Here is a 26,686-nt window from a genome sequence, read left to right as displayed (position 1 = left end):
CTTCAGTCTAAAAATGCCAGTATGTGTACAATAACATAGTTTGTCATTTTCCCCTCTGAAGTTAAACGAGCAGGCACTCTGGAGAATACTGTAGATTTGGTGATCCTGGCTGAGCCACCCCTTTTTATTGCTGCCTTAGCTGAAAGAGGATATCCCCTCTGTGATCAGGAAAAGCAGAAAGTCCTCCCACCCTGAAGATGTAAGGAATATCCTTTGTCTGCCGGCACAGAACTTGTCTTTCAAATAAGTAAAGGACCAAGGTTGCTGAGATATTTTCCGGAAAAGCAAGATTGGGCTGTACCCCACACCCAAGTGGTGTTGTCAGCCCGTTTTCATTGGGGGGAATGCCTATTTAAGCAGTATAAAAATTCCTCGTGGCTTTCCTCAGATTCCACAGACAACCTCCATCTTTTGGAAGTGAGATGAGGGCAGTGGGAAAAGAAAAAAACTACAGTCACAAGCCACATAGCGCCATTTAAGTCAACATCAGACAACATTAGGACAGTGGTCCCATAAGATGTAACACTGTACTGGAACACTGCACCTTCCCCAGAGTGCTTAGCACTCTGTTTTAGCTGCCTGCAGCATTCCGCGCTGTGACCTGCTGTGCAGGGGTGCAGCCCAGAAGCAATGGGTTGTACCATACAGCCTGGCGTGCAGTAGGCAAGGCCATCTAGGTTTGTGTCGGTGCACCGTGATGTGCACACAGTGATGAAATCTCCTAGTGACCTCGGAACGCGTCCCGCTCCTTAGGCAACCCGTGGCTGTATTCCAATTTCCCCTTGCTCTCAGAAACACAACTAAAAGCTCGAAGACCTCAGGTGACAGACTGCCTCCTGTTACCTCACCAAGACTGAAAACCTAAGCAGTGGCTCCGCCCAAAGAGCAAGCTTCTAGCCCTCTGACGGGAGGCCCGGCAAGATCGTCCTCTGGACAGCACCTTGCTATTTTGTGACGCTGCTCCAGCCCCCAAGATGTCCAAGATCTTGGGCCTTCCCTTGAGGCGTGACGCTCACGACCCGAAACACCTCTCATACAGCGTGCACACCACATTTCAGATTTTAATGATTTACACTGCAATCAAGCAAAGAGGCTGCGAACTCAAAAGCCAGCAACAACTGAACATTTAAACTCCAACGTCAACAGTCAGAATACAGCCCTCAAGGCGGCCAGCTGGGACCCTGCCGGCGGCACCGCGCACCGAGAACCCAGCGCGAGCAGTCGCTGAGCCGATGGGCGGGGCCCAGCTGTAGCTTTGGCTACGTCGCGGGCAGCCTGGGAGCCAATCCGCGGCGGGCTGAGCCGTTGCCTTGGCTACACCGTCTGTTAGGGCCGCGCACGAGATCAGTAACTGAGACCTCACCGCGTTGACCCAGCACCAGGGCTCGCGGGGGTCCCGCGAGGGTCTCGGTAGCCGCGCGCCCAGAGACCCCCGCCGCGGCCCGATTCTCTGAGCGCCAGACATGAACCGCAAGAAACTGCAGAAGCTGACGGACACCTTAACCAAAAATTGCAAGCATTGTAAGTAAGAATGTAGTGCTGGACAGGCCGAGGCTCCTGGACCGAGCCTGGGTCCCACCCCGTGCTAAGGTCCGCTGTTGTGCCTGCTTCCCGCCTGCTGGGACTCTGTGGGCTACCTACCGCCCCTCCACCCCGGCCCCTTAAGCAGAAGTCAGAGAGGGAATCCCGGGGTGCCAGCTCCTTGCGTTTGATCTTAGGAACCCAGGCCTCCGCCTCTGGTGCTACCTACACTCCCACACATGCATTTACTTGCTTCTCCAACCCTCTTCTTTTACCTGATAGAAACATGTGATGTTAGCCTCAATGAGGTGTAAAATAAATGCTAAAACCAACTGGTCTCAAGAAAAGTAGCACCACCAAGGTAGACCGTGCACTCACCCTGCTTTATAGCTCGCACATACACCCGCAGGTCCAAGTTCTGGAAGCTTACCAAGAGACCCATAGGAGAAAACGGTGCTCAACTTCTCAACATCTTTCGGAGAGATGAGTTGTGTCATCTCATCTGTGCCTCAGAACAATATTTGTTTGGAAACCAGAGTTCAGCACAACTAAACACGTGGTAAAGAATGGGTTCCCAACTTTAGACTCCCACTTTCCAGTGGCCCCTGGTGTTGAAAGATAAAGGAGACTTTGCAGGTGACAAGATGAGCCCTATTTGAAGGCACCTGCTCTAATCTCGCATTTGAAAGGGTGGTCCTAGAATTTCATAGGAAACTTTGAGTTTATATTCAGACTGAAAAACATAATTGCACTTTAGCAAGGAAGCCGTGGGTATGGTTTAGATGAGGAAGATAATTTCCTGTCGAGCAAACTTAGAAGTTGTGTGTGCTAATTGCAAAACTACTGGCCACTTGAAGAAACAGAAGCAACAATCCCCCAAATAACCGAGTCGCTCAAAAAAGAAGGAATAAACATGTTGATGTAGTTTTAGAGATTGTAAGATCTAGTGCATTCTAATTATCATTAGTATCTGATTTAATACCTGGTAAGAAATGCTCTCTTAGTGGATGGTGATATAAATGAATATTATGGTGTGTGTACGCATCTTAAAATGTTTAGGAAAAAAATCCTGTAATTTAAGATATTATTATGACTACTATACTCTGATGAGGGTTTTGTTCTGTTATTGTTTTTCTTAAAACACTTTCATTTCTGGGAGAATAGGTATTCTTCTAGTAAACATCTAGTAAACATTTTTGATAAATATTCAAAAACAATGCAATAGCTGCTATACACAATACTGATTTTGTCCCTTTCCGTAAGTTTGAATTTGATTTAGTCTCTGTTCGGTAAGTTTGAATGCATTGCAGACAATCATTCTGTGAACAATCAAAAGGTGAGTGTATATTTTTAAAGGTAAGTAAAAATATGGCAGGAAAAAGTCTGCTCTTGATTTTTTTGTTTACTAAAAAATTTTCAATGAGTCTTACAAACTTAGATGATTATTAGTTAAAGTCTATAGAAATAGTTATACGTCATGGACATTATAATAATTTTAAATTTTCTTTAACGGAAGAACTTTCCCCTAAAGTTAAATTTTGTTTTAGTTGCAAGACAATAAAGCTATCAAGATTCAATGGATAAATTTTGTAGAATCAAAGAAGAGTGAAAGATCTTAAGAGAACATCTAGTTCATGCACTGTTCTACAGATATGTTCTGCAGGACACATTCACAGCATTCCAAGAAGATGAAAACCTATTCTTGAATTTTCTTGTTTCATTTAGTATTGTATTCTAGAATTTAAGAAATGTTTAGCAATAAAAGTTTTCTTATGGCTAACCTTTGATCCTTTGGGTAATAAATTAAACTAGTTTTTAAAAATTTTTATTTCAGCTGAGATGGAAAAATGGCTAACCAACATCCCCTCTGCTACCATTTTATGTACATGAACAGAGTACATCATTCTTCATGCAGGCTTTTCTTCCGCAACAACTAACAGCTCTTGCTTTTTAGGAGGTTTGTGTGTGTGTGTGTATGTGGTTACATATAACATGAAATTTACTATTTTAACCATTTTAAGTGCTTAATTTCATGGCATTAAGTACATTCACACTGTTCTGCTTGCAACACCACCATCCACCTCCGTAACTTGTTCATTGTTCCCAGTGGAAACTCTACCCATTAAATGTTAACTCACCATTCCCTCCTCATCCTAGTCCCTGGCAACTATCATTCTACTTTGTCTCTATAAATCTGACTAAGTACCTTATATAAGAGGAATCATACAATATGTGTCCTTTTGTGTCTGGCTTATTTGACTAAGTGCAATATCCATAAATGTTCATCTATGTGTCAGAATTTTCTTCCTTTTTAAGGCTGAATGATATTTCATTGTATGAATACACCACATTTTGTCTATCCATTCCTCCATTGATGGACTCTTGCATCTGTCTTTTGACTGTTGTGAATGATGACACTATGAACATTGTTGTACAGGTTCCTGCTTTCAGTTCTTCTGAGTATGTAAATAGAAGTAGAATTCCTGGATCACGCAATAATTGTGTTTAATTTTTATGAGGAGCTATCATACTGTTTTCCACAGTGACTAACAGCTGTTTTTGAAATCATAACCATTATATTGTTTCCTACTATTTATTTGCTGAATCTTTTTTCCCAGACTTTTTAGTGTTTCTCTTTAAATGTGGTTTTCCAAACCAGAAATCCCACAAATGCCTGTACTGACCTCTAGGATGAGGTGTGATTTTTCCATTCCTAGATGCTGTCTTCTGTTATACACACACAGGTTTTGTCCTTGTTTGTTAAAATGCTCAATCACAGTTTTGACTGGTTTCAAAATAAATTTTCCCCAACTTCCGCCCATACTTGGTATTTGAGCTTTTATATTATCAAGACCAGGCAATAACCCTTCCACCTACATTCTCAAATGGGGATTGGAACACAAATAATTAACTCGGTATTTATAACCATGGTCCTTTATACAATAATGTGTATGAGCAAGTATCTGTTTGTGTGTATATCCTTTAAATAAAAATTTCCTTCCTCCAAACTATTACTGAATAGTTGCATGTTAATTTTTACGTAATCCTCAAGAAGAGCCATATTGGGTGCTAAAATATGCTTTAAAGCTTTTTTATTGGAAAACTGGTGACTCTAGTTTCCAAAATCTGGCTTATGAATTAATGAAGGCTAAACTGAAATGAAAATTGTTACCTAATTCTCATGAATCTGACATCTATTTCCAGGGAAAAGAAGTTGTAAATCTCGTAAATGCCATGGTAAAAATACTGAGAAAAAGTTACCATTCTTTAGTCTTACCATTCTTATTTTGAGACGTATTTCTACTAGCCTTGTAGAGTTTAGAATCCGACACCACCATCATTATTCTAGTAACTTGGCTAATACTATCGTATTTTTTTCCCTAAACATGGGAATTCCTGTTTGGAGGGTATGCTGCTTTTTTTATTTCTATTAAGTTAAGGGTTCATGAATCTCAAAACAGGAGAGTCTTCTATTGACAATTACCTATTTGATGTCTTTGACGTTGTTTGTCTGTAAACTTATTGCAAAATTTAAGTTAGAACTTAAAGATTAAGGGTTCATTTTTGTTATATCTATTTTATTATTTCAGTTAATAAATTTGAAGTGAACTGTCTTATAAAGCTTTTTTATGACTTGGTGGGAGGAGTAGAGAGGCAAGGTCTGGTTGTTGGACTGGATCGTAATGCATTTCGAAACATCCTGCATGTGACATTTGGAATGACAGATGACATGATTATGGACAGAGGTAAGAGACACACAAGATTCAAATTAGCCAAATCCAGCCATAACTGAAAAAAAAAGGGTTTGGTGCTTGGACATCCTCTTGGTAGGAAGCTTAGTGTTTTGCATTCCCAGTGTCATTGGAATATACAAATTTAATTTTGAGAAGATCATAGAAAAGGAGGTAATATTGGCTTTATTTTGTGTATTTAAGAAGAAGACAAAGTCATGTTGACATCTTTCTCTTACCTTATATCAGAAAACCTAAAACATTTCGATTTCCACTTAATAAACATAATAAATAGAATAGTTTTAAAAGGACATTTACATTCTTTACATCATAGAAGATATTTCAGTGACAAGATATAATTCTATGCATCAAGTAATGACTTGAGTAACAAAACTATTAAGTATTTTATTTATATTCATATATTTATCTAATATGACCAACATATTTTATAGCAACATATTTATTATTAAATAATGATTAATATACTTAGACATTGAGAATTGTATTTGTTCCCACAAAAACATTTTAAAAATTGAATGTTTAATAAAAGAGTTTCATGATATTATGATGTCTTAGTTTCCTCTTTCGTCAAATGAGAATATTGGACTTCACAAGCTGAAGTGTTCTCTTAATTTTAAAAGTGAGTGATGCCAATGTAGATACTTTACTGAGAGTTATTATGCAGGACAGGTGTTCCATTTAACCTCTCTCCCTTTAGTATTCCGAGGTTTTGATAAAGATAATGATGGCTGTGTAAATGTATTGGAGTGGATTCATGGATTATCACTGTTTCTTCGAGGATCTTTGGAAGAAAAAATGAAATGTAAGATTGCAGGTTGTCCTATTGGTTCGTACATTATGAATAACATATCTAAAGCACTTAAATCAGTGTCTTTCAACCAAGACAGTAAAGTGGGTTTGTTGGTTGGCTGGTTAGTTGGTTTGAATCCCACTAACCTATTTTATGGAATGAATTCAAGTCAATAAAATATGAAAGAAAGTTAATAAAAAGAAAACTCAAGTGATTCTGAGGAGTAATTTATGCGAAGGAAGACACCATAGGCATTACTACATATGCTAATTATGTACATATACATTTATATGTTAAGCATTTGACAGATTTCATTACTTGAATTGTAACCATAAAACTAGAGAATATTGATTCAAGTGTTCTTATTCTTAATTAACTCTCAATTAATTCTGATGAACTCTGCTTATGAGCCATATTTCAATCAGTTTTCCAAGAGTTTCAAGGTGAAGATATTCAAGTTACTGTTCCTTGGTATGCTTTTTCATAATTGAGAATCAGGAAATATTTTCTAAGGATTATTGTATATATCCTAGTATACGTTGACACTTACAATGCAAATCAGGCTGCACTAAGACCTGTGGGTACAGCATCAAGATAGAACTTGGCCCTGAAAAGTTTATCAGAGAAAATATTACCTTACTGATAGCATCAAATTCATGATTTGTTATTTTCTTAAAAAGATTGCTTTGAAGTGTTTGATTTGAATGGTGACGGATTCATTTCAAAGGAGGAAATGTTTCACATGTTGAAGAACAGCCTTCTCAAACAGCCATCTGAGGAAGACCCTGATGAAGGAATTAAAGATTTGGTTGAAATAACACTGAAGAAAATGGTAAATATGGGTAATGTCAAGTTTTTTATTAAAATTTGTGGGCCAGATATGGGCTAGAAATAAGAATTCAAATTATTATAATTTTCAGTTCTCTGCTTGCTTAAATAAAACACATAAATTATGCTCCTCAACATATTAATAGTTCTTTTCAGTTTCACCACCTAACCTCTTATTTTTCTAGCACTTTTTTTTTTTTTGAGACAGGGTCTCGCTCTGTCTCCCAGACTAGAGTGCAGTAGCATGATCACAGCTCACTGCATCATCAAACTCTTGGGCTCAAGCAATTCTCCTGCCTCAGCCTCCCAAGTATCTGGGACTACAGGCGCATACCACCATGCCCAGCTAATTTTTTTTTTTAATAGAGATGAGGTCTCACTATGTTGCCCAGTATGGTCTCAAACTTCTGGCCTCAAGGAATCACCCCGCCTTAGCCTCCCAAAGTGCTATGATTACAGGCCTGAGCCACCATCCCCAGCCTAGCACATTTTTTTAAATTAACACTTGACTATGAAAAGAGCATGTATTTGCAGTAATCATTTTACGTGTTGCCTAACATGTTTCTCATTCCCCTAGGATCATGACCATGATGGGAAGCTGTCTTTTGCAGACTATGAACTGGCTGTGAGAGAAGAGACTCTTCTACTGGAGGCCTTTGGGCCATGTCTTCCTGATCCAAAGGTATTGATATGACTTTCCCTGAACGGTAATCAAAGTAGAATGTAGAACAACCCAGGACTTCTTGATTTAATGGGTAGTGGATCAGACAAATCCTGTCCACCAAGAAAGAATACCTTTTAAATACAGAAAGCCCACTGAATAACCTGCTGATTCATTTCTTGGTACTAGTGTGACCCAGTGCTGTGTTTCATTCATTAACTCATTCATGTCAGAAACAATTAATGAGGTTTAATGTGTGCCAGAAGCACAGATGAAAGGCTCAGTGATTTTACTCAAGGGCTCATATTTTCCAGTGAAAATAATTACACAAGAGTATGATACATATTATTATAATGATACTTAATTACTTGTATGTTCTTCATCAATGCCAGGCAACGTTGTAAACACTAAGCCTCATATTGCCTCATTTAATCCTCATAATAACCCTGTGAAGTAGGTAGTAATATTAGCCTCATTTTCCAGATGAGGAAACCAAGGCTTGGAGAGTTTAGGCACCTTGTCCAAGTTTACTCACTTATTAGTGGAATACCCTGGGTACCCTGGTGCCAGAGTCATAGAGATATGTGTAGAGTGTTGTGGAACTTGAGAAGAGGTCATCTAAACAGCTGTATGGGAGGACTGGTAAATGACTGGTAGGGCAGGAAGCTTATCAGAGTAACTGGTTTTCAAAGGACAAAATAGCCAGGTCAGATGGGGAAAAATAATCTGAGCAATGGGTGATGTATGCACAAAAGAGAGACAGAGAGAGATAGAGAGAGAGAAAGAAAGAGATGGAACAAGAGATGCAAATGCATCTGCACTGGACGAGGTTTTGGTGTGCTCTGAGGCTGGTGATGAGGCTGCAGAAGCACAGCTTGTGGAGCTTGGAGCTCAGATTTAGTCTTGAAGGTGATGAGGCATCCCTGGAAGATTGAGGCAGGCAGTGTGATGTGATATAGAAACAGTATCACTCTTCCCAGCCCTAGCATGTGTCTCCTGCCGCCTACTCAACATGTCCACTTAGATCTCCTCAACACATTTTTGACTTTTCCCCAAAACTCACCCATCCCCCAGTCTTCCCTATCTCAATAAGTGGCAACCACATACGCCCAGTTGTTCAGTCAAAACCTAGGGGCCATCTTTAATTTCTCTCTTTTAACACTGTTAGCTACACCTCCAAAATATGTCCTTGAATATAGCCTCTTCTCCTCACATCTGTTTGCCACCACTCTAAGTTAAGCCACTGTTATATGTTACCTAGCCTAGATTGTTAGCTTTCTGGCTTCCACTGTCATCCCCTACTGACTTTTCTCAACAATGTCCAGTATGTTTAAAATGCAAATGCTGCCAGGCCCCTCCCATGCTCAAAACCCCCCAGAGGGTTCTGAAGTGGACCCAGTGGGCCATTTCCCTCTCTCCACCCACATGTCCTATCATCTCCCTTCTCTCTTGCTGCTGGAGCCACAGCCTCTGGCTCATGTGCCTCCTCCATGCCTGTGCACTTGCTGCTGCCTCTGTCCAGAAGCCCTTTCCCCAGACCCTCCTGGGCCTCATTTTCTCACTTCATCCAGTCTCTGCTGCAATGCCACTTCCTCACAGAGCCCTGTCTTGACCATCTTAACAATCTTCCCTGTTCATCCCCCAGCCCTTCTTTCTTTCTTTTACTTAGCAGCTCTTTTTATTACCTAGGTATATCTGTCTCGCCTTGTACATGTCAGCTCACTGAGGCCAGGAACTTAGTCTTTGTTTCACTGTGTTTCCCCATACCCTGTGTGTAGCACATGGTGTGTGTCTAGTAATGAGAGATGGATGGATGGATGGATGGATGGATGGATGGATGGATGGATGAGTGGATAGATGAATGGGTGAGGTGGATGGGTGGGTGGGTGGGTGGATGGATGGATGGATGGAAGGATGGATGGGTGATGTGGGTGTGTGGGTGGGTAGATGGATGGGTGAATGGGTGAATGGATGAATGGATAGTTGAGGTGAGTGGGTAGATGGATGGATGGGTGTGTGGATGGATGAATGGATGGATGGATGGATGGATGGATGGATGGATGGATGAGTGGATGGATGAGGTGGGTGGATAGGTGAAGTGGGTGATTGGTTATATGGATGGTTGGATGCGTGGGTGGGTGAATGGATGGGTGGGTGGATAGATAGATAGATAGATAGATAGATAGATAGATTGATAGATGCATGGATAGATGGGTGGATGCATGGATGGACAATGGATGGATGGATGGATGGATGGATGATGAACTGGGTTGATGGGTGAGGTGGGTGGGTAAGTGGGTAGATGGATGGATGGATGGGTGAGGTGAGTAGATGGATGGGTGAGGTAGGTAGGTGTGTGGGTAGATGGATGGGTGGATGGATGGATGGATGCATGGATGGATGAGGTGGGTGGATGGGTGAGGTGGGTGGGTGGGTAGATGGATGGGTAGATAAAAAGATGAGTGGGTGGGTGGATGGACGGATGGATGGTGAGGTGAATGTGCGGGTAGGTAGATGGATGGATAGATGGGTGGATGGATGGATTGGATGGATGGATGGATGGATGGATGGATGGATGAATGGATGGATGAGATGGATTGATGGGTGAGGTAGGTGGGTGGGTAGATGGATGAGTGGATGGATGGATGAGGTGAGCAGATGGATGGGTGAGGTAGGTGAATAGATGGATGGGCAGATGAAATGATGAGTGGGTGGATGGGTGGATGGATGAGGTGAATGGCTGTGTAGGTACATGGATGGATAGGTGGGTGGATGGATGGATGGATGGATGGATAGATAGATGATGGATGGTTGGATGGATGGATGGATGGATGGATGAAGTGAATGGGAGGGTGGGTAGATAGATGGATGGATGAGTGGATGGATGGGTGGATGGGGTGGGTGGGTGGATGGATGGATGGATGGATGGATGGATGGATGGATGGATGGAGTGGGTGGGTAGATGGATGGGTGGATGGATGGATGGATGGGTGAGGTGGGTGGATGGGCGAGGTAGGTGGGTGGGTAGATGGATGGGTGGATGGATTAATGGATGAGGTGGATGGATGGTGAGGTGGGTGGGTGGGTCTCAGAAGTGCCTGATGGGGAGCTCTGGATCTCTCCATCTCCTCAGGAGCTATTTCATTCATTTACCTTTATCTTTATACCACATCTTCAATCTCTTCCCTCTCTAGTGAAACCTTCCGATTAGAATTTTATTATTTATTTATTTATTTATTTATTTATTTATTTATTTTTGAGACGGAGTTTTGCTCTTGTTGCCCAGGCTGCAGTGCAATGGCACAATCTCGGCTCACCGCAACCTCCGCCTCCCAGGTTCAAGTGATTCTCCTGCCTCAGCCTCCCGACTAGCTGGGATTAGAGGCATGCGCCACCACGCCCGGATAATTTTATATTTTTTAGTAGAGACGTGGTTTCTCCATGTTGGTCAGGCTGGTCTCGAACTCCCGACCTCAAGTGATCAGCTTGCCTCGGCTTCCTAAAGTGCTGGGATTACAGGCATGAGCCACCATGCCTGGCTCCCATTAGAATTTTAAAAGATTCAAAACTGTCCCATCTGAAAAGCAAAATGAAAGAATGAGAGGAAGAAGGAAAGAAAAGGAGAGAACTTACCTTAATTTCACACTTATTACTTCTGTTTCTTATATAATGGCTTTCCTTCTTAAAACCTAGCTTCTTGAAAGAATTGTCCAGATTTAATATCTAACTACTATCACTTCTTCCTATCTACCCCTGAATCTGCTATTGCAAGGTCACCCTCCCACCTTGTGAATAAATCCCTTGAATGCTCTTGGCTTCTTACCTTACTGAACCACATCCCCCTCACCCTTGGCTCTCAGTACAGCCTTCCTGTTCCAGAGAGTGCCTCGTTCCCAACCAAGGCCCGGCTGTGCCTTGATTGTTCCTCCTGGACTCCCATAGTCTACCATGTGCCTTTCCCTACCACAGCCCATGCAGCCCTGACTGATTCTTGCAAGTTTCTGGCCAGTCTCTGCCACCAGGCTGGAGACTTTTGGAGAGTTGGGTCAATTGGTCTTGCTCATCTTTGTGGCCACATAACCAAGCACTGTGTTTTGAGTGTAGTCATGAGATCTGTGAGTGAAACGCTTGAACACCAGAAGTTCTCGATGCCCACTAACCCTCAGTTATCCTGTCTCTACACTAAGGAGACATACAGAATATTTTGTGGTGTTCTACCTTTTTTGGAAATTTATACTAAATTGAGTACCTTTTTTTACAGAGCCAGATGGAATTTGAAGCTCAAGTATTCAAAGATCCAAATGAATTCAATGATATGTGAATAACTAAATGTCTATATTGTCTCAAGTGAGTAAAAAAGGAGGCACACACATATTGCTTATTTTTTCTACTTAGTTCAGAAAAATGATGTTGAATTGTGTGTTTCAGGGTGAAGATGAGGTTCACTTACATATATCATTTAACATCAGTGTAAGATGCAATTAAAATAGATGGAAGACAAGAAGTCCCTTATTAGATGATGGGTTTGGCAAGACAGTTAACTTTTCTACAGATGTTTTATCACATAGACTATCTGTCGAAGCACATAACTGGCATAAAACCTTTGGGTTCATTAAATGAATAGAGAGATTACATAATTATGAATTGTTAATACAAATATTCTGCATGTCAAAAAGAAGCTGGGTGTACACTGAAAAATCATTGAAACTACTGGATTTCCTTTGAAACAAATAATGAAGATGGCATCAAAAGAATAAGAGTATTCTATTGAGCATTGAAACGCCTTTCTGGTAGGCATTGAGGGAGATCTAGAGAGATGAAAGATACATGGAAATCATATTATATTGAAATATAATATGATTTGCATTATTGTTTGAGGCTTTGGCTAAATAACGTTACTGATTGTAAGCACCTGAAGGCAAGGGTTTTATCCACCACATCTTTGTCTGCCATAGCATTTAGTCCTCTGCATACAATGGGCTGTCCATAATTACTGTAGATTGGACTGAAAATCAAAAAGTACCACAAGATAAATGCAAACTCTTGGTGAGCAGAGGGAGAACATGTACTGAGTTTCTTAGGTTTCATGGCTAATGCATTGGCACAGCTTTCAGTGTATCCCTGCAGTCCTTCCAGATAGTCCCTGCCCCATGCATTGCAGATGGTTGCCAAAGCCCCCCTCTGTCCTGGCACCCAGTGTTCCTCCATCCTGACTCCACGTATTGCCCCCTTGCCACTGCCTGAGTGCACCATAGTGTCCCCATCCCCCCACTGCCTGGAGTTCCCCTTGTGTACCCCCTTATCAGGGCACGACCTAACTGTGCCCTGCTGGCTGTGACCTCCTGAAGACAGACCTGGCTTCTCCCTGCATCCAGTTCCCCAGTATGTGCTGTGGGCATCCTGAGAAGCCTGAAAAAGACAGGGCCAGGTTAGGCTTGGGTGAGCTGCTTTCTGCCTTCTTGGTACACACAGTAAGCAGTGGAGAGGCGTGTTACACCGTATCTGTTCTATCCTCATCTAAATACTGAGAGGCTAGTTGGGATAGTAAATCTTTCTTACTACATATGCATTAAGTTTAAGTAAAATAGAATATTGTGTGAAAAAATGCACTGTTACTAATAAATGGAATAAACAGATCCATGAAATAAAAGAAAACATATTTTACTGTCCAAGTTTTTTTTATATTTTAGATTCTTACATAGATGGACTTTGACACAATTTTTCTATTTGCAGTAAATATAAATAATGCAACACAATGCTTTTCTATCTTTATTGAGGGAAAATTGATAATTTAAAACTGTATATATTTAAGGTATACAACTTGATGTTTTTATATTTGTATGCATTGTGAAATAATCACCACAATCAAGTTAATTAACACATACACCACCTCACACAGTTACCATTTTCTTTTTGTGTGTGTTAGCCACCTTTAGAGCAAATTTCAAATATATAATACTGTTAACTATAGTCACATTGCTGTTTATTACATCTCCAGAACTTATTCATCTTTCATAACTGAAATTTTGTAGCCTTTTACCAACATCCCCCCATTTTGCCCCACCCTGCTATCCCCAGCCCTTGGAAACCACCATTCTACTCTATCCTGCTATGAGTTTTTCCCTTTTAGGTCCCTCTTATAAGTGAGAACATGCAGTATTTGTTTTTTTCTGTGTCTGGCTTATTTCAATTAGCATAATGTCCTCCAGGTTCATCCATGTTGTTGGAAATGGCATAATTTCCTTCTTTTTAAAGGCAGAATGATATTTCATTGTGTGTCTGTGTGTGTGTGTGTGTAATGGGGAGACAGGGACACTATGATGCACTTAGGCAGTGGCATGGGGTGAAATGTAGAGTTAGGGTGGAGGGATACTGGGTGCCAGGACAGAGAGGGGCTTTGGCAACCAACTGCAATGCACGGGGCAGTAATTGCCTGGAAGGACTCTAGGGATACACTGAAAACTGCCATGTGTATATACACACACACATATACATATATGTATTTCATATATTCATTTATTCATTGACAGTTATTTGGGTAGTTTCCATATCATGGCTACTGTGACTACACTGAAATAAACATAAGGACACAGATTTCTCTTCATGAGACTGATTTTATTTTCTTTGGTTGTATACCTAGAAGTGGTATTTCTGGATCAAATGGTAGTCCCACTTTTAATTTTGTGAAGAGTCTCTATACTGCTTTCTATACTAGCTGTACCAATTTGCATTCCCACCAGTAATTTACAGGATTCTCTTTTCTCCATATCCTTGTCAGCCCTTGTTATCATTTATCTTAGTGATAATAGCCTCTGTAAGAGGGGATATCTGATTCTGGTTTTGATCTGCATTTACCTGATCACTTTTTCATAGACCTGTTGATCATTGCTATTATCTTTGAAAAATGCGTAGTCAGGTTTTTTGCCCATTTCTAAATCAGGTTTTGGGGGGTTTTATGTTTGTTTGGTTTTTGTTGTTGCTATTGAGTTGTAGGTATTCCTTATATATTTTAGACATTAACCACTTAGCAAATATATGATTTGCAAATATTTTCTCCAGTGGTTGCCTTTTCACTGTTGATTATTTCCTTTTCTTTGCAGATTTGTTTTTAAGTTTAATTCAATCCCACTTATTTTTGCTGCCTGTGTTTTTGTCATCATATCCAAAAATCATTGCCTAGACTAATGTCATGAAGCTTTTTTTCTGTGTTGTCTTCTAATAGGTTTACAGCTGCAAGTCAACATTAAGTCTTTAATCCACTTTGAGTTGACTTTTGTATATGTTGTGAGATGGGGTCCAATTTCATTCTTTTGATGTGCAAATCCAATTGTCCCAACACCATTTTGTGAAGAGACTCTCCTTTCCCTGTTGTGTATTCTTGGCACCTTTGTGGAAGATCAGTTGACTGTAGATGCTTGGATTTATTTTAGGCCTGTCTTGTGTTCCATTGGTCTATATGTTTGTTTTTATGCCAGTACCAAGCTGTTTTGATTACTAAAGCACTGTATTTTGAAATCAGGAAGTATGACGTCTTCAGCTTTGTTCCTCTTGCTCAGGATTGCTTTGGCTATTTAGGGTCTTTTCTGGTTCCATATGAATTTTAGGATTATTTTTTCTATTTCTGTGAAGAATGCCATTGGGATTTTGATAAGGATTGTATTGAGTCTGTACATCACTTTGGGTAGTATGAACATTTTAATAATATAAATTCTTCCAATTCATGAATATGAGATGCCCTTTTATTGGTCTGTATTTTCTTTAATTTCCTTCATCATTGCCTTTATAATTTTCAGTGTATAAGACTTTCACCTCTTTGCTTAAGTTTATTACTATTTTTTATTTTTTTGCTGCTATTAGGAATGAGTTTTTTATTAATGTTTTTCAGATAGCTCATTTGTGGGTAGAAACGTGACTGATTTTTGTAAGTTGATTTCGTGTCCTGCAGCTTTATGAAATTCACTTATTTGTTCTAACAGTGTGTTGTTGTTGCTGTTGTTGTTGTCATTGTTGTGTTTGTAGGGTTTTCTACATATATGATGATGATGTTTCAAAATGGAGGTAATTTTACTCCATCCTCTCTAACTTGGATGCTTTATTGGGGGAACCTGCCCCCAATATTTCAATGTACATTCTTTCTATTTTCCGTAAGTGTCAGCTGGCTGAGAAATAAAGAGAGACAGCACAAAGAGAGAAATTTTACAGCTGGGCCACTGGGGGTGACATCACATATTGGTAGGACCATGATGCCCACCTGAGTCTCAGACCAGCAAGTTTTTATTAAGGGTTTCAAAAGGGGAGGGGCTGTAAGAATAGGGAGTAGGTACAAAATCACATGCTTCAAAGGGCAAAAAGCAGAACTACTAATAAGGGTCTAACAAAGATCACCTGCTTCTGAGGGAATAGGACAAAGGGAAAAAGCAGAACCACTGATAAGGGTCTATGTTCAGTGGTGCACGTATTGTCTTGATAAACATCTTAAACAACAGAAAATGGGGTTCGAGAGCAGAGAACCCGTCTGACCACAAATTAACCAGGGCAGAGTTTTTCCCCACCCTAGTAAGCCTGAGGAGTACTGCAGGAGACCAGGGTGTATCTCAGTCCTTATCTCAACTGCACAAGACAGACATTCCTAGAGCGGCCATTTATAGACCTTCCCCCAGGAATGCATTCCTTCCCCAGGATATTAATATTCCTTGCTAGGAAAAGAACTTAATGATACCTTCCCTACTTGCATGTCCATTTATAGGCTGTCTGCAAGAAGAAAAATACGGCTCTTTTTGCCCGACCCCGCAGGCAGTCAGACCTTATGGTTGTCTTCCCTTGTTCCCTAAAAATCGCTGTTATTCTGTTCTTTTTCAAGGTACACTGAGATCATATTGTTCAAACACACATGTTTTACAATTAATTTGTACAGTTAACACAATTATCACAGTGGTCCTGAGGTGACGTACATCTTCAGCTTACAAAGATAACAGGATTAAGAGATTAAAGTAAAGACAGGCATAAGAAATTATAAAAGTATTATTTGGGAACTGATAAATGTCCATGAAATCTTCACAATTTATGTTCCTCTGCCGCAGCTCCAGCCGGTCCCTCCATTCGGGGTCCCTGACTTCCCGCAACAATGCTTTAACTTCTTTTACTTGTCTAATTGCTTTGGCTAGAACTTCCAGTACTATGTTAAATAGAAATGGCAAGAATGAGCACCGTTTCTACCAGAAGTTTTACAGAAAGTTTCTTTATTTTAATGATGATGTTAGCTGTGGGCTTTTCATACATGGCCTTTCTTGTGTTGAGGTAAGTTCCTAGTGTACTTATTTTATTGAGAGATTTCATCATGAATGGTTGGTGAACTTTGTTAAATGCTTTATTTCTGCATCTGTTGAGATGATAGTGAGGTTACTTTCCTTTTTGTTATTGTGTTGTATCACATTAATTGATTTGCATATGCTGAAGCATCTTTGCATCCCAGGGATGAATTCCACCTGGTCATGGCATTTTGATCTTTTTAATGCACTGATGAATTCAGTTCACTAGTATTCTATTGAAAATTTTTGTTCCAATGTTCATCAGGGATATTGGCTTGTAGTTTTCTTTTCTTGTGCTGATTTGGAATCAAGTTGATACTGGCCTCAAGAAAGGAGTTTTTGTAAGTGGGCCCTTTTTTTCTATTTTTTTAGAGGAGTTTAGAAAATAAAAGAATTGGTATTCATTCTTCTTAGTATGTTGGGTAGAATTCACCTAGAAAGCCACCTGGTCTGGACCTTTCTTTGTTAGGAACTTTCTGATTACTGATTCAGTTTCCTTATTTGTTATTGGCCTGTTCAGGCTTTCTGTTTCTTCCTAATTCAGTTTGGTAGGTTGTATATTTCTAGGAATTTATCCATTTCTTCTGTTATCCAATTTGGGCATAGTAATTTTTCATTGTCTTTTATGATCATTTTTATTTCTGAAGCATCCATTGTAATGGCTCCTCTTTCATTTATGATTTTGAGTCTTTTTTTTTTCTTAGTCTGACCGGGTGTTTGTCAATTTTGTTTATCTCTTCAAAAAACCAAGTCTTAGTTTTGTTAATTCTTTTCTGTTCCCTATTTGTTTTATTTCTGCTTTTATCTTTATTATTTCTTTCGTTCTGCTAACTTTGGGCTTAGTTTGTTCTTTTCTTCTGGTTTTTTGAGGTGTATAGTTAGGTTTTTTTACCTGAGATCTCTATTCTTTTTTAAAGTAGACATTTATCATTGTAAACTTTCCTCAATACTACTTTTGCTGCATTGTATAAGTTTTGTGTTGGGTTTTTGTTTTTGTTTGTCTTGAGATAATTTTTAAATTCCCTTTGATTTCCTCTTTGAACAAATAGCTGTTCAAAAATGTGTTGTTTAGTTTCTATATATTTGTGAATTTGCCCATTTTCTTACTGTTATTGATTTCTAGTTTCATTCTGTTACTGTTGGAAAAGATACTTGTAATGATTTCAGTCTTCTTAAATTTGTTAAGATTTGTTTTGTTACCTAACATGTGATCTAACCTTACATGTATGCTTGGGAAGACTGTATTCTTTTGTTGTTGGATAGAAAGTTCTGTACATGTCTGTTAGGTCTTTTCATCCATAGTGTTGCGCAAGTCATCTGTTTACTGATTTTCTGTCTGGATATTTTATCCATTATTGTAAGTGGGATATTAAAGTACCTTACTATTACTGTATTGCTATAAATTTATTCCTTGAGATCTGTCAATATTTGCTTTATATACTTTAGGTGCTCTGATATTGGTTGTATATATATTTAAAACTACTATATGTGCCTGTTGAATTGACCATTTCTCAGTCCTTTGTCTTAAGATAATTTTTTACTTAATACTTCTTTTATCTGATATAAGCATAATCACCTCTGCTTTCTTTTGGTTACCATTTGCATGGAATATCTTTTTCCATCCTTTAACTTTCCTCCTATATGTGCCTTTAAATTTAAAGCAAGTCTCTTGTAGACAGCGTATTGCTGGATCTTTCTAAAATCTGTTCAACCACTCTATGCCTTTTGGTTGGGCAGCTTAATCTATAATCATTTAAAGCAACCATTAATAACTATGTACCTATTATTGCCATTTTGTTTATTGTTTTCTGTTTGGCAGTTGTTTTCTCTTTGATTTGATGATGTTTTGTAATGATTGTTTTTGGGTATTTTTGTGTATATATCAATTATAGGGGTTTTGGTAGTTATTTCAAGGCTTGCATAAAATATCTTGTCTATTTTAAGTTGATAACAATTTACCTTTGATCACACACAAAAACCATACTTTTAATCCTCCCACACATTTTGTGTTCTTGTAATTAGTTTGCTTCTTTGTACATTGTGTGTCTCTTACTAAATGTTTATCTTTTAACTTTTATGTTAGGGTTAACAGTAATTTACATACTACAGTGTTGCATTATTCTGTATTTGTCTACATATTTATCTTTACCAATGAGATTTATGCTTTCATTTGTTTTCATGTTGCTGCTTACCATGTTTTTATTTCAAATTGAAGAACTCTCTACCATTTTTGTAAGTGAGGTTTAGTTATAACAAACTTCCTCAGTTTTTGTTTATTTGGGAAAGACTTTATCTCTCCCTTTTTAAAGTATAATTTTGCAGGTATAGTATTCTTGATTGGCAGGGTTTTTTTTATTTTCTTTCAGTGCTTTGATTTTGTTATCTCACTCTTCCCTGGTCTACAGGGTTTTTGCTGAGAAATCCACTGATAGTCTTATCCACATTGCCTTACATATGATGTCACCTTTCTCTTGCTGCTTTCAAAATGCTCTTTATTCTTGACTTCTGACAATTTGATTATAATGTACCTCATTGTACCCTTCTTGGGGTTGACCCTATTTTAGGCCCTTTGTGTTTCTTTTATTTTTTTAGACATAGTTTCACTCTTGTTGCCCAAGCTGGAGTGCAATGGTGCAATCTCGGCTCACTGCAACCTCTGCCTCCTGGATTCAAGTGATTCTCCTGCCTCAGCCTCCCAAGTAGCTGGGATTACAGGCACGTGCCACCATGCCTGGCTGATTTTGTATTTTTAGTAGAGATGGGGTTTCTCCATATTGGTCAGCCTGGTCCTCTGCATTTCTTTAATCTGGGTGTTCATTTCTCTCCCAAGATTTGGGAAGTTTTCAGCCATTAATTAGTTAAGTAAAATTCTTGACTCTTTCTCTTCTCCTTCTGATACTTTCACAATGCATATATTGGTTCACTTGATTATGGCCCATAAATCCTGTAGGATTTCGTCATTCTTTTTTACTGTTTTTTTTTTCCTTTTTCTCCCCAACTGGATAATCTCAAATGACCTGTCTTCAGATTCACAGATTCCTCCTTCTGCTTCATTGAATCTGTTCTTAAGGCTGTCTGTTGCATTTTCTGTTTCATTCATTGTACTTACCAGCTCCAGAAATTCTGGGTTTTTTAATGACTTTTATCTCCTTGTTGAACTTCTAGTTTTGTTCACGTGTTGTTTTCCTGATTGAGTTGTCTGACTGTGTTCTCTTGAAAGGTGACAATGTGCTATCAGCCCTCACTCGGTCCCGGCACCTCCTCGGCCTCGAAGTCCACTCTGTCCGCGCTTGAGGAGCCCTTCAGCCTGCCACTGCACTGTGGGATCCCCTCTCTGGGCAGGCCTAGGCCAGAGCCGGCTCCCTCTGCTTGTGGGGAGGTGTGGATGGAGAGGCGCAGGCTGGAACCGGGGCTGCACGTGGTGCTTATGGGCCAGCACGAGTTCTGGGTGGGCGCCGGCTCGGCAGGCCCCGCACTTGGAGCGGCCGGCTGGCCTGCGGGTGCCGCCGGCCCCAGGCAGTGAGGGGCTTAGCACCCGGGCCAACAGCTGCGTAGGGTGCGCTGGGTCCCCCAGCACTGCCGGCCCGCCCAAGCAGTGCTAGAATTCTCACTGGGCCTCAGCTGCCTCCCCACGGGGCAGGGCTCGGGACTTGCATCCCGCCATGCCCAAGCCCCACCCGACCTGTCTGGGTGGGCTCCCGCTCTGCCCGAACCTCCCCGACAGGCCTGCCCCCTGCTCCACAGTGCCTGGTCCCATCAACTGCCCAAGGGCTGAGGAGTGCAAGTGTGCAGCTTACAGCTTACTAAGCTTCTCTAAACCAATCATTTTGAATTCTTTGTCAGGAAATTCAAGGATTTCCATTTCTTTGGGGTTGGTTACTGGAAAATCAGTCATGTTTCATTGGTTTTATATGTTTCTTGTAGCTTTGCATTTATATCTACACACGAAGGAGCAGTCACCTCTTCCACACTTTTATGGGCTGCCTTTGGTGGGGAAAGACCTTCACCTATTGGTGGGTGTGAAGGCACCAGCTGGGGTGTGACAGCTCTGGCTCCAGGTGGATACATCTTGGACTCTGGGCAGCTTAATCAGCTGGGGTCAGCATCAGTGAAGACTGTGGGCACCATCAGTCATAAAAACTGTGGGTGTCCATGATGGTGACAAAAGCTGCTGGGGTCCTCAGTGGCAAAGGCTACTGGACTTCTGCTCTCCTTTTTCCCCACAGAGAGAGGTCACAGCCAAAACGATCCCCTTTGTTGCCAAGCTGTGCCAGGGTAGAAGATGAGGTGATGCAGATAAAACGCTTCCAACACTTTTATATACAGCTGTCCTTGGTTTGGGGGTGCTTTAATGGGTTCCTGCAGCTTCTTCACTGTACTCTGGAGTATTCTCAGAGCTATTTTTGTTGGCAAGTAGCTGTTAAATTCTTGCTTTTGTTGGGGAGACAAGAGCTGGGATCTCCTAGTGTATCATCTTGTTGATATTACTTGCCTGCTTTTAATATTTTAACTAATTTTTCTGATTACAAAGGAATTGAGGTTCTCTGAAGAATATTTCAGATATTTAGGAAATTTTAAAATAAGATGAAAATATTGATTAATATTCTGGTATAAATCCTTCCAGACTTTTACAATGCATTTGTAAGTACATCTACATTTTTGCAAAGAGAATACTGTATTTTTCAGATGATCATATTGAAAATGCACTTTTGTCTTGGTGTACTACTATTTTGTGAACATTTTTTGAGGTCATTATTTGTCTGTAGCTTGACTTGTAATGGCTGCCTGGTATTCCATCATGACTGACTTTATTAAACCACTTTCATGCCATTGACATGTCAGATGTTTCCACATTTTTGCTATTATAAATAATTCTAATACTGAACACTCCCTGTAGATAAACCTTTTCACATAACACAGTGCTTACTTTCTTGGAATAAGTTTGTAAAAGTAGAATTGTTGGGTTACAGTCTCTGCATAATTCTGAGATTTCTAGCACGTGTTGCCAGATCATTCATCAGGAAAGGCTTCCAACTGAACTGCCATCCCCAATGTACGAGACTCCCTTTCCCTGCAATATACATTCTTTTAATTTCCTTACCAGTATCACGGACCGTCATGAGCATGATTTTAATTTATCATTTAAAGTACTATTCTTAGACATCTGTACCTAAACTTTTTACTGTATGTTGAGTATATACTGACCTCCATATGAATAACCCTCTTTTATTACTTGACATTATTTAAACCTAAAAGATGTCAACAACAAAAAAATCCTAAGTAATTTTAATCCAGCTTAAGATGATCGTGGCACTTGACTGTAAGAATTCATAAGCTCTGTTCAAGAGCCTTTCAATATATCTAGAACACATCTCCTCTGCCGTTCATCATAAACTGCCCAAATCACTTCCTTGTGCTGCAATATCTAGATTGATGGATTCTCTTAATTTCACTACTGTACCAACTCAGAAATGATTGTAACACTGAAAATTAACTCACCACATAGTAAGGGTATCTAAGTACCCTTGGGGTAGCTTAAAGGAAGAGCTGTCTCTCCCCTCTTGCCCATTCTATGCCCTCACCTCCCGACTGCTAGGCTTGGCCTGACTTTTCTCCCCGCTAAGTACAGCCAACCTGACTGACCTTGGTCTTTGCCTGGGTTTGTCGGGGGGGTGGGTTAGGACTGTGGATGAGCAGTTATAATTTGGAGGATTAGCGATAGCCTTCCTCTAACTGGCTCCTCTCATTGGCTTCCCCTTCTCTTCCCAGCACTCTATGTGGAGTACCAGAAAGCCAGGCTAGGCCTGTTTAGGAGAGGTAGACATCACCTCGCAAGCAGCATGAAGAAATTCTATTTGGGAAACAATTAAGTGTTTTTTTTTAACTACAGGATTTAAAAACCACCACTGAAAACTGGTAGTCCTGCATTCTTAACCTGCAAATATCTCTGTGTACAAGACTGCACTTGTAAGAAACCAGGCCTGCAATTGCTTGCACCATAAAATCATCCAAAACATTCACTAAGTTCCTACTTTGTGCAACACCATGAGGGTTAATGTATTCTAAGCTGGTTGTCCCTGCCCTAACCCCATTCACCATGTAAAGTGATAATTTCATGGGCTGCTTGTGTCGTCACCTGTCACTGCTTGGATTCATGGTAATAGCGCCTCTCCTGCCTCCCCCCACAAAGTTATATCATTTGTATTAAAGAAGGTTGTTAAAGGGGATTCAAATCAATTACTTTGAAACTATGAAGACAACCATCTGGAGAAAGTTCCTTTGAGCTGCTCTGTAGCTCCCGTGCTTTTCCTGACCCTGTGTCTTATCTCAGGGGGCCATTTCCTCCCAGAGTCACCTCTGACGCTCGCCCAGTCGTTCACAGCTAGTGTTTAGTTCTCATCAAGTGCAACCAAGGGAGGATTGGGAATTGCATTAGACATAGAGCGACTACAAAAGATACATAATAAAATAGAAATTTAACCCATATATACATTAATTACAATTTAGCAAGTTGTGAGGATGGTTTGGTAATATTTCCAAAAGAGGCAGAAGTAATAGATCTGCATTTTCTGATGGAGTGACTGCCCTCTCTGTCAGGGATTGAGGCAGATGGTGTCTTGCAGTGTTTTCCAGTCTAAGTTGCCATTGAGGGACAAGCCCTCCCAAACAGGTAGCAAGTAAATCAAAGTGCACTTCTCACAGATATATCTCAAGTAAACTTGCTCAGTTTTTTTCTTTTTCTTTCTTTTTTTTTTTTTTTTTTTGACAGAGGAGTCTCACTCTGTTGCCCAAGCTGGCACGGTCTTGGCTCACTGCAACCTCTGCCTCCCAGATTCAAGCGATTCTCCTGCCTCAGCCTTCTGAGTAGCTAGGAATACAGACACGCACCACCATGTCTGGCTAATTTTTTGTACTTTTAGTAGAGGCAGGGTTTCACCATGTTGGTCAGGCTGGTCTCAAACTCCTGACCTTGTGATCTGCCCTCCTCAGCCTCCCAATGTGCTGGGATTACAGGTGTGAGCCACCACGCCCGGCCAAACTTTCTCAGTTTCGTGGGAAAGTAATAAAAACAGGAAATCTAATGGAGGCATCCTTAATGAGGCTGGGCGCACGTCTGCATTTGAAGTGCCTTTATCGGCATCACTGCCCAGGCAGCAGCTCACTGACCCAGCTCCACCATTGGTCATTTGTGGCTTTCTGTGGACCTCAAGCCTCCTACCTACCCTTCAAGAAAATATTCCCCGCCTAAAACACACATCCTCTCATTTATTTTTACTTCCCTCTTTTCTGTTTTGCTCCACACTGCCCCTATTATGTGGTCCCAGCTAGGCTCACAGAGGTCCCTGGGGTGAGAGATTGTCAGCGTGGAGGACATTTGGATGCACTGGTTGAAACCCAGGCTGCCCTCTCCTAGCCTGAGCTGCACCTGCCCACCTCCCATCTGCATTTCCAAAGCCTCGTGTGGATGAAGGGGACCTAAGCAGCCTGCTCCCTGAGGGAGGACACCACCACTTGGAGCCACACAGCCTGAAGACAGAGAACAGTGTGGAAGTAAGCAGAAGGATTTAGGAATCCTCTCTGTGAGTGGCATTTAGAGCCTGAGTCACTGCCTCCCAGCAGAAATAATTAGCCCAAAAGCACTGGGAAGTCTGGGAGGTTAATTAAAACCATTTAGTCATGTCTTCCTTCATGAATCCTTTAGAAACATGATAAAGTCAGAAAATGGAATAAATTAAATTTTTAAGATCCCCATAATCTCAATAATACATGATATGAAAATCTAATGAGCGCTTTTGTTCCAGATATTGGGCTAAGCATTTTACATGCATTGTCTCACTAATTTCTCCCAACTATCCTAAGAAGTAAACATTACTTACTATTTTCATCCTACAGATTGAGGAAATTGGATTTTGGAAAATCAGGAACGTCCTATGTGTCTCAACTAGAAAAGGGCAAAAGCCAAGATTCAGACCTTATCTAGTTCTAATGCTGAAGACCTTTGTCTAAAGCAAATCTGTTCTCGCCACATATCCTCCACTTACTCCTGTGGAGTGAGTGAGTGTCTCCAGCTCCAGAATCTCCCGGCAGACCCTCGTGGCTGCAGGCTGGGTTGCTATGTGGTGTACATGTATTGTGAGATCATTGATTCCTCTCCTATCCACTCTTCTCATCTGAACATACCTTGGGATTTGCTTTCTTTAGTGGGAGTTTCCTGCTTGGATGTAATGCCTTTCATATTTGGTGCTAATAAGAATCTGGACATTAGGCTGGGACCTGGCCTTAACAAGAGTTCAGATGTGGTGGAGAACATGGAGTGGTCACTAGGCTGGAAAACTCTGTTGGCACCAAGAGAGGCAGAGTGAGAGGAGCGTCAACAGACTATGCTAAGAGGGAAGAGAGGTAGAGACCACCACCTGCTTGTGAGGAGAATGGTGGAAGCCAGACTCCTCAACTAGAGAGGGACAAGGAATGCTTCTTTGGGCCGTCTCGGATGATGTCAGGGAAAGGCTTCTACCTAGAGAAGAAGAAGATGCCAATGATAAGAGGCCATGAAATGAAGTGGCAAACATAATAAATTATAATGTGGTGCTTTCCAGGTGCCAGTCACTAGCCCAAGGATAGACAGCTGGGACATGGTAGAGCTGGGATTTGTACCAGATTTGACCTGCAGCCCAGGCCATTACCCATGTTCTAGCCCTGACTGCCTCTTACTGTCACAAGATACCACCTGGCATGGCACAGGTCACATGAACTTTGAAAGTGTGATATAAGTGAAAAGTGATTATAGGTTGGTAGGAACCATGGCATTTATCATCCCAAATGGGATGCTATCGTGAAAGAAGATGCTCATAGTTACATCAGCACAATGTAATCTGGGGTTGTCCCAGGCAAAGCAGGATGTATTGTCACCCTATTTATAGGTTATGAATTACTCCACAAATTAAATTTATGTAAAATTGGAATAACACCTGCTCTCTCTGCCTCTACCTCGCAGGGTTTCTGTAAGGTAGGATTGAATGAGATAATGTCTGTTACATCATGTTACAAAGAGGGAAGCTGTTTCCCCCTTTGAATAAACTGTAAGTATAATCTGAATGCATGGATTATGGTAGGTGTGTCAGGACAGTGACATGTGTGCCCATCTTGGAGTGTGCTTAGGTTCTTCATAGGTGCTCATGTGTAATGATTAAGTATGGGCACCAAAAGCCTGGAAATGAGGAACCCTGGTTTCTGGATCCCTCCCTGTAATAAATGCATGGCATTGCTTAAGTCTCTTACTAGTATAAGGAAGTCGAAGGATGTTTCTAAAGTATCTTTAATAATTGAATTTAGAAAAATTAATTTCATGAAAGTCCGGTAAAGTGCTGGTGTAAACATCACCAGAATGCTCCTGAATGCTACCCTCTTGGAGTCAGCATTAATGCAACTACCCTCCCCCACACACACACACAGACACACACACATCTCTCTCATGACACACTCAGAACATACAGACATACACACCATAGTGTATCCCATTTACCACATGCAGTAGAGTTATTTGAATCTCTCTCATCCCATCAAGAGTTCATTAATTCTAAAGCAATTGGCATCACACTGCTCACGTCGAGGGTTCTGATTAACCACATTCAAGATTTAATGTGTTTGTTATGCTGGCTCTAAAGTGCTAAAATATCAAAGGGAAATTAATGAGATATGATTTGTATGAAAGGATAAAAGTCTAAAATCCCATTAGATAAACATGAACTTGCATCCAAGTTACGTGAGCTCCAACAAGCCAAATTCATGCCGTGGTCCACTTGCTGTGTTCTTAATTGGGATAGTG

General features: G+C 40.7%; 1 protein-coding gene across 13 annotated transcripts, besides 1 other annotated feature; it reads left to right on the top strand.

Annotated features, from left to right (window-relative positions):
• Nucleotides 1,268-1,942: an enhancer, noted in NCBI's record as "H3K4me1 hESC enhancer chr8:49647232-49647906 (GRCh37/hg19 assembly coordinates)". NCBI's record gives its function as "activates a minimal SCP1, AML or CMV promoter by ChIP-STARR-seq in naive H9 embryonic stem cells {active_cell/tissue: H9 hESC(naive)}" and the evidence as "EXISTENCE:reporter gene assay evidence [ECO:0000049][PMID:30033119]".
• On the top strand, nt 1,304-25,826 carry CLXN (calaxin). 13 transcript variants are annotated; one of them, XM_017013827.2, is made up of 8 exons: nt 1,304-1,521; nt 1,931-2,080; nt 3,356-3,478; nt 5,112-5,267; nt 5,971-6,075; nt 6,744-6,895; nt 7,469-7,573; nt 11,814-13,224. In XM_017013827.2, the coding sequence occupies exons 4-8, from the start codon at nt 5,240-5,242 to the stop codon at nt 11,871-11,873; spliced, it is 450 nt and encodes a 149-aa protein (XP_016869316.1). In that variant the 5' UTR covers nt 1,304-1,521; nt 1,931-2,080; nt 3,356-3,478; nt 5,112-5,239; the 3' UTR covers nt 11,874-13,224. The 13 variants fall into 13 exon arrangements, 10 of the variants coding, with proteins under 10 accessions (XP_016869316.1, XP_011515891.1, XP_005251360.1 ...); XM_011517589.2 differs by lacking the exons at nt 1,931-2,080; nt 3,356-3,478 and adding an exon at nt 21,087-21,694 and having other exon boundaries at nt 11,814-11,899; XM_005251303.2 differs by lacking the exons at nt 1,931-2,080; nt 3,356-3,478 and having other exon boundaries at nt 11,814-11,899; nt 11,981-13,224.
• Nucleotides 25,827-26,686: the final 860 nt, after the last annotated feature.

The sequence above is a fragment of the Homo sapiens genome, chromosome 8 (assembly GCF_000001405.40).
Source record: "Homo sapiens chromosome 8, GRCh38.p14 Primary Assembly".
NCBI lineage: Eukaryota > Metazoa > Chordata > Mammalia > Primates > Hominidae > Homo > Homo sapiens.
The sequence above is the reverse complement of the archived record's forward strand: the minus strand, read 5'-3'. Positions and strand labels throughout refer to the sequence as shown.

Excerpts from the sequence above, each read along its gene's own strand:
- CLXN (XM_011517589.2), top strand. The coding sequence starts at position 1,464 with ATGAACCGCAAGAAACTGCAGAAGCTGACGGACACCTTAACCAAAAAT. Across the intron at positions 5,268-5,970 it reads TGACATGATTATGGACAGAG|TATTCCGAGGTTTTGATAAA; the intron begins GTAAGAGACACA and ends CTCTCCCTTTAG. Across the intron at positions 6,896-7,468 it reads AAATAACACTGAAGAAAATG|GATCATGACCATGATGGGAA; the intron begins GTAAATATGGGT and ends TCATTCCCCTAG.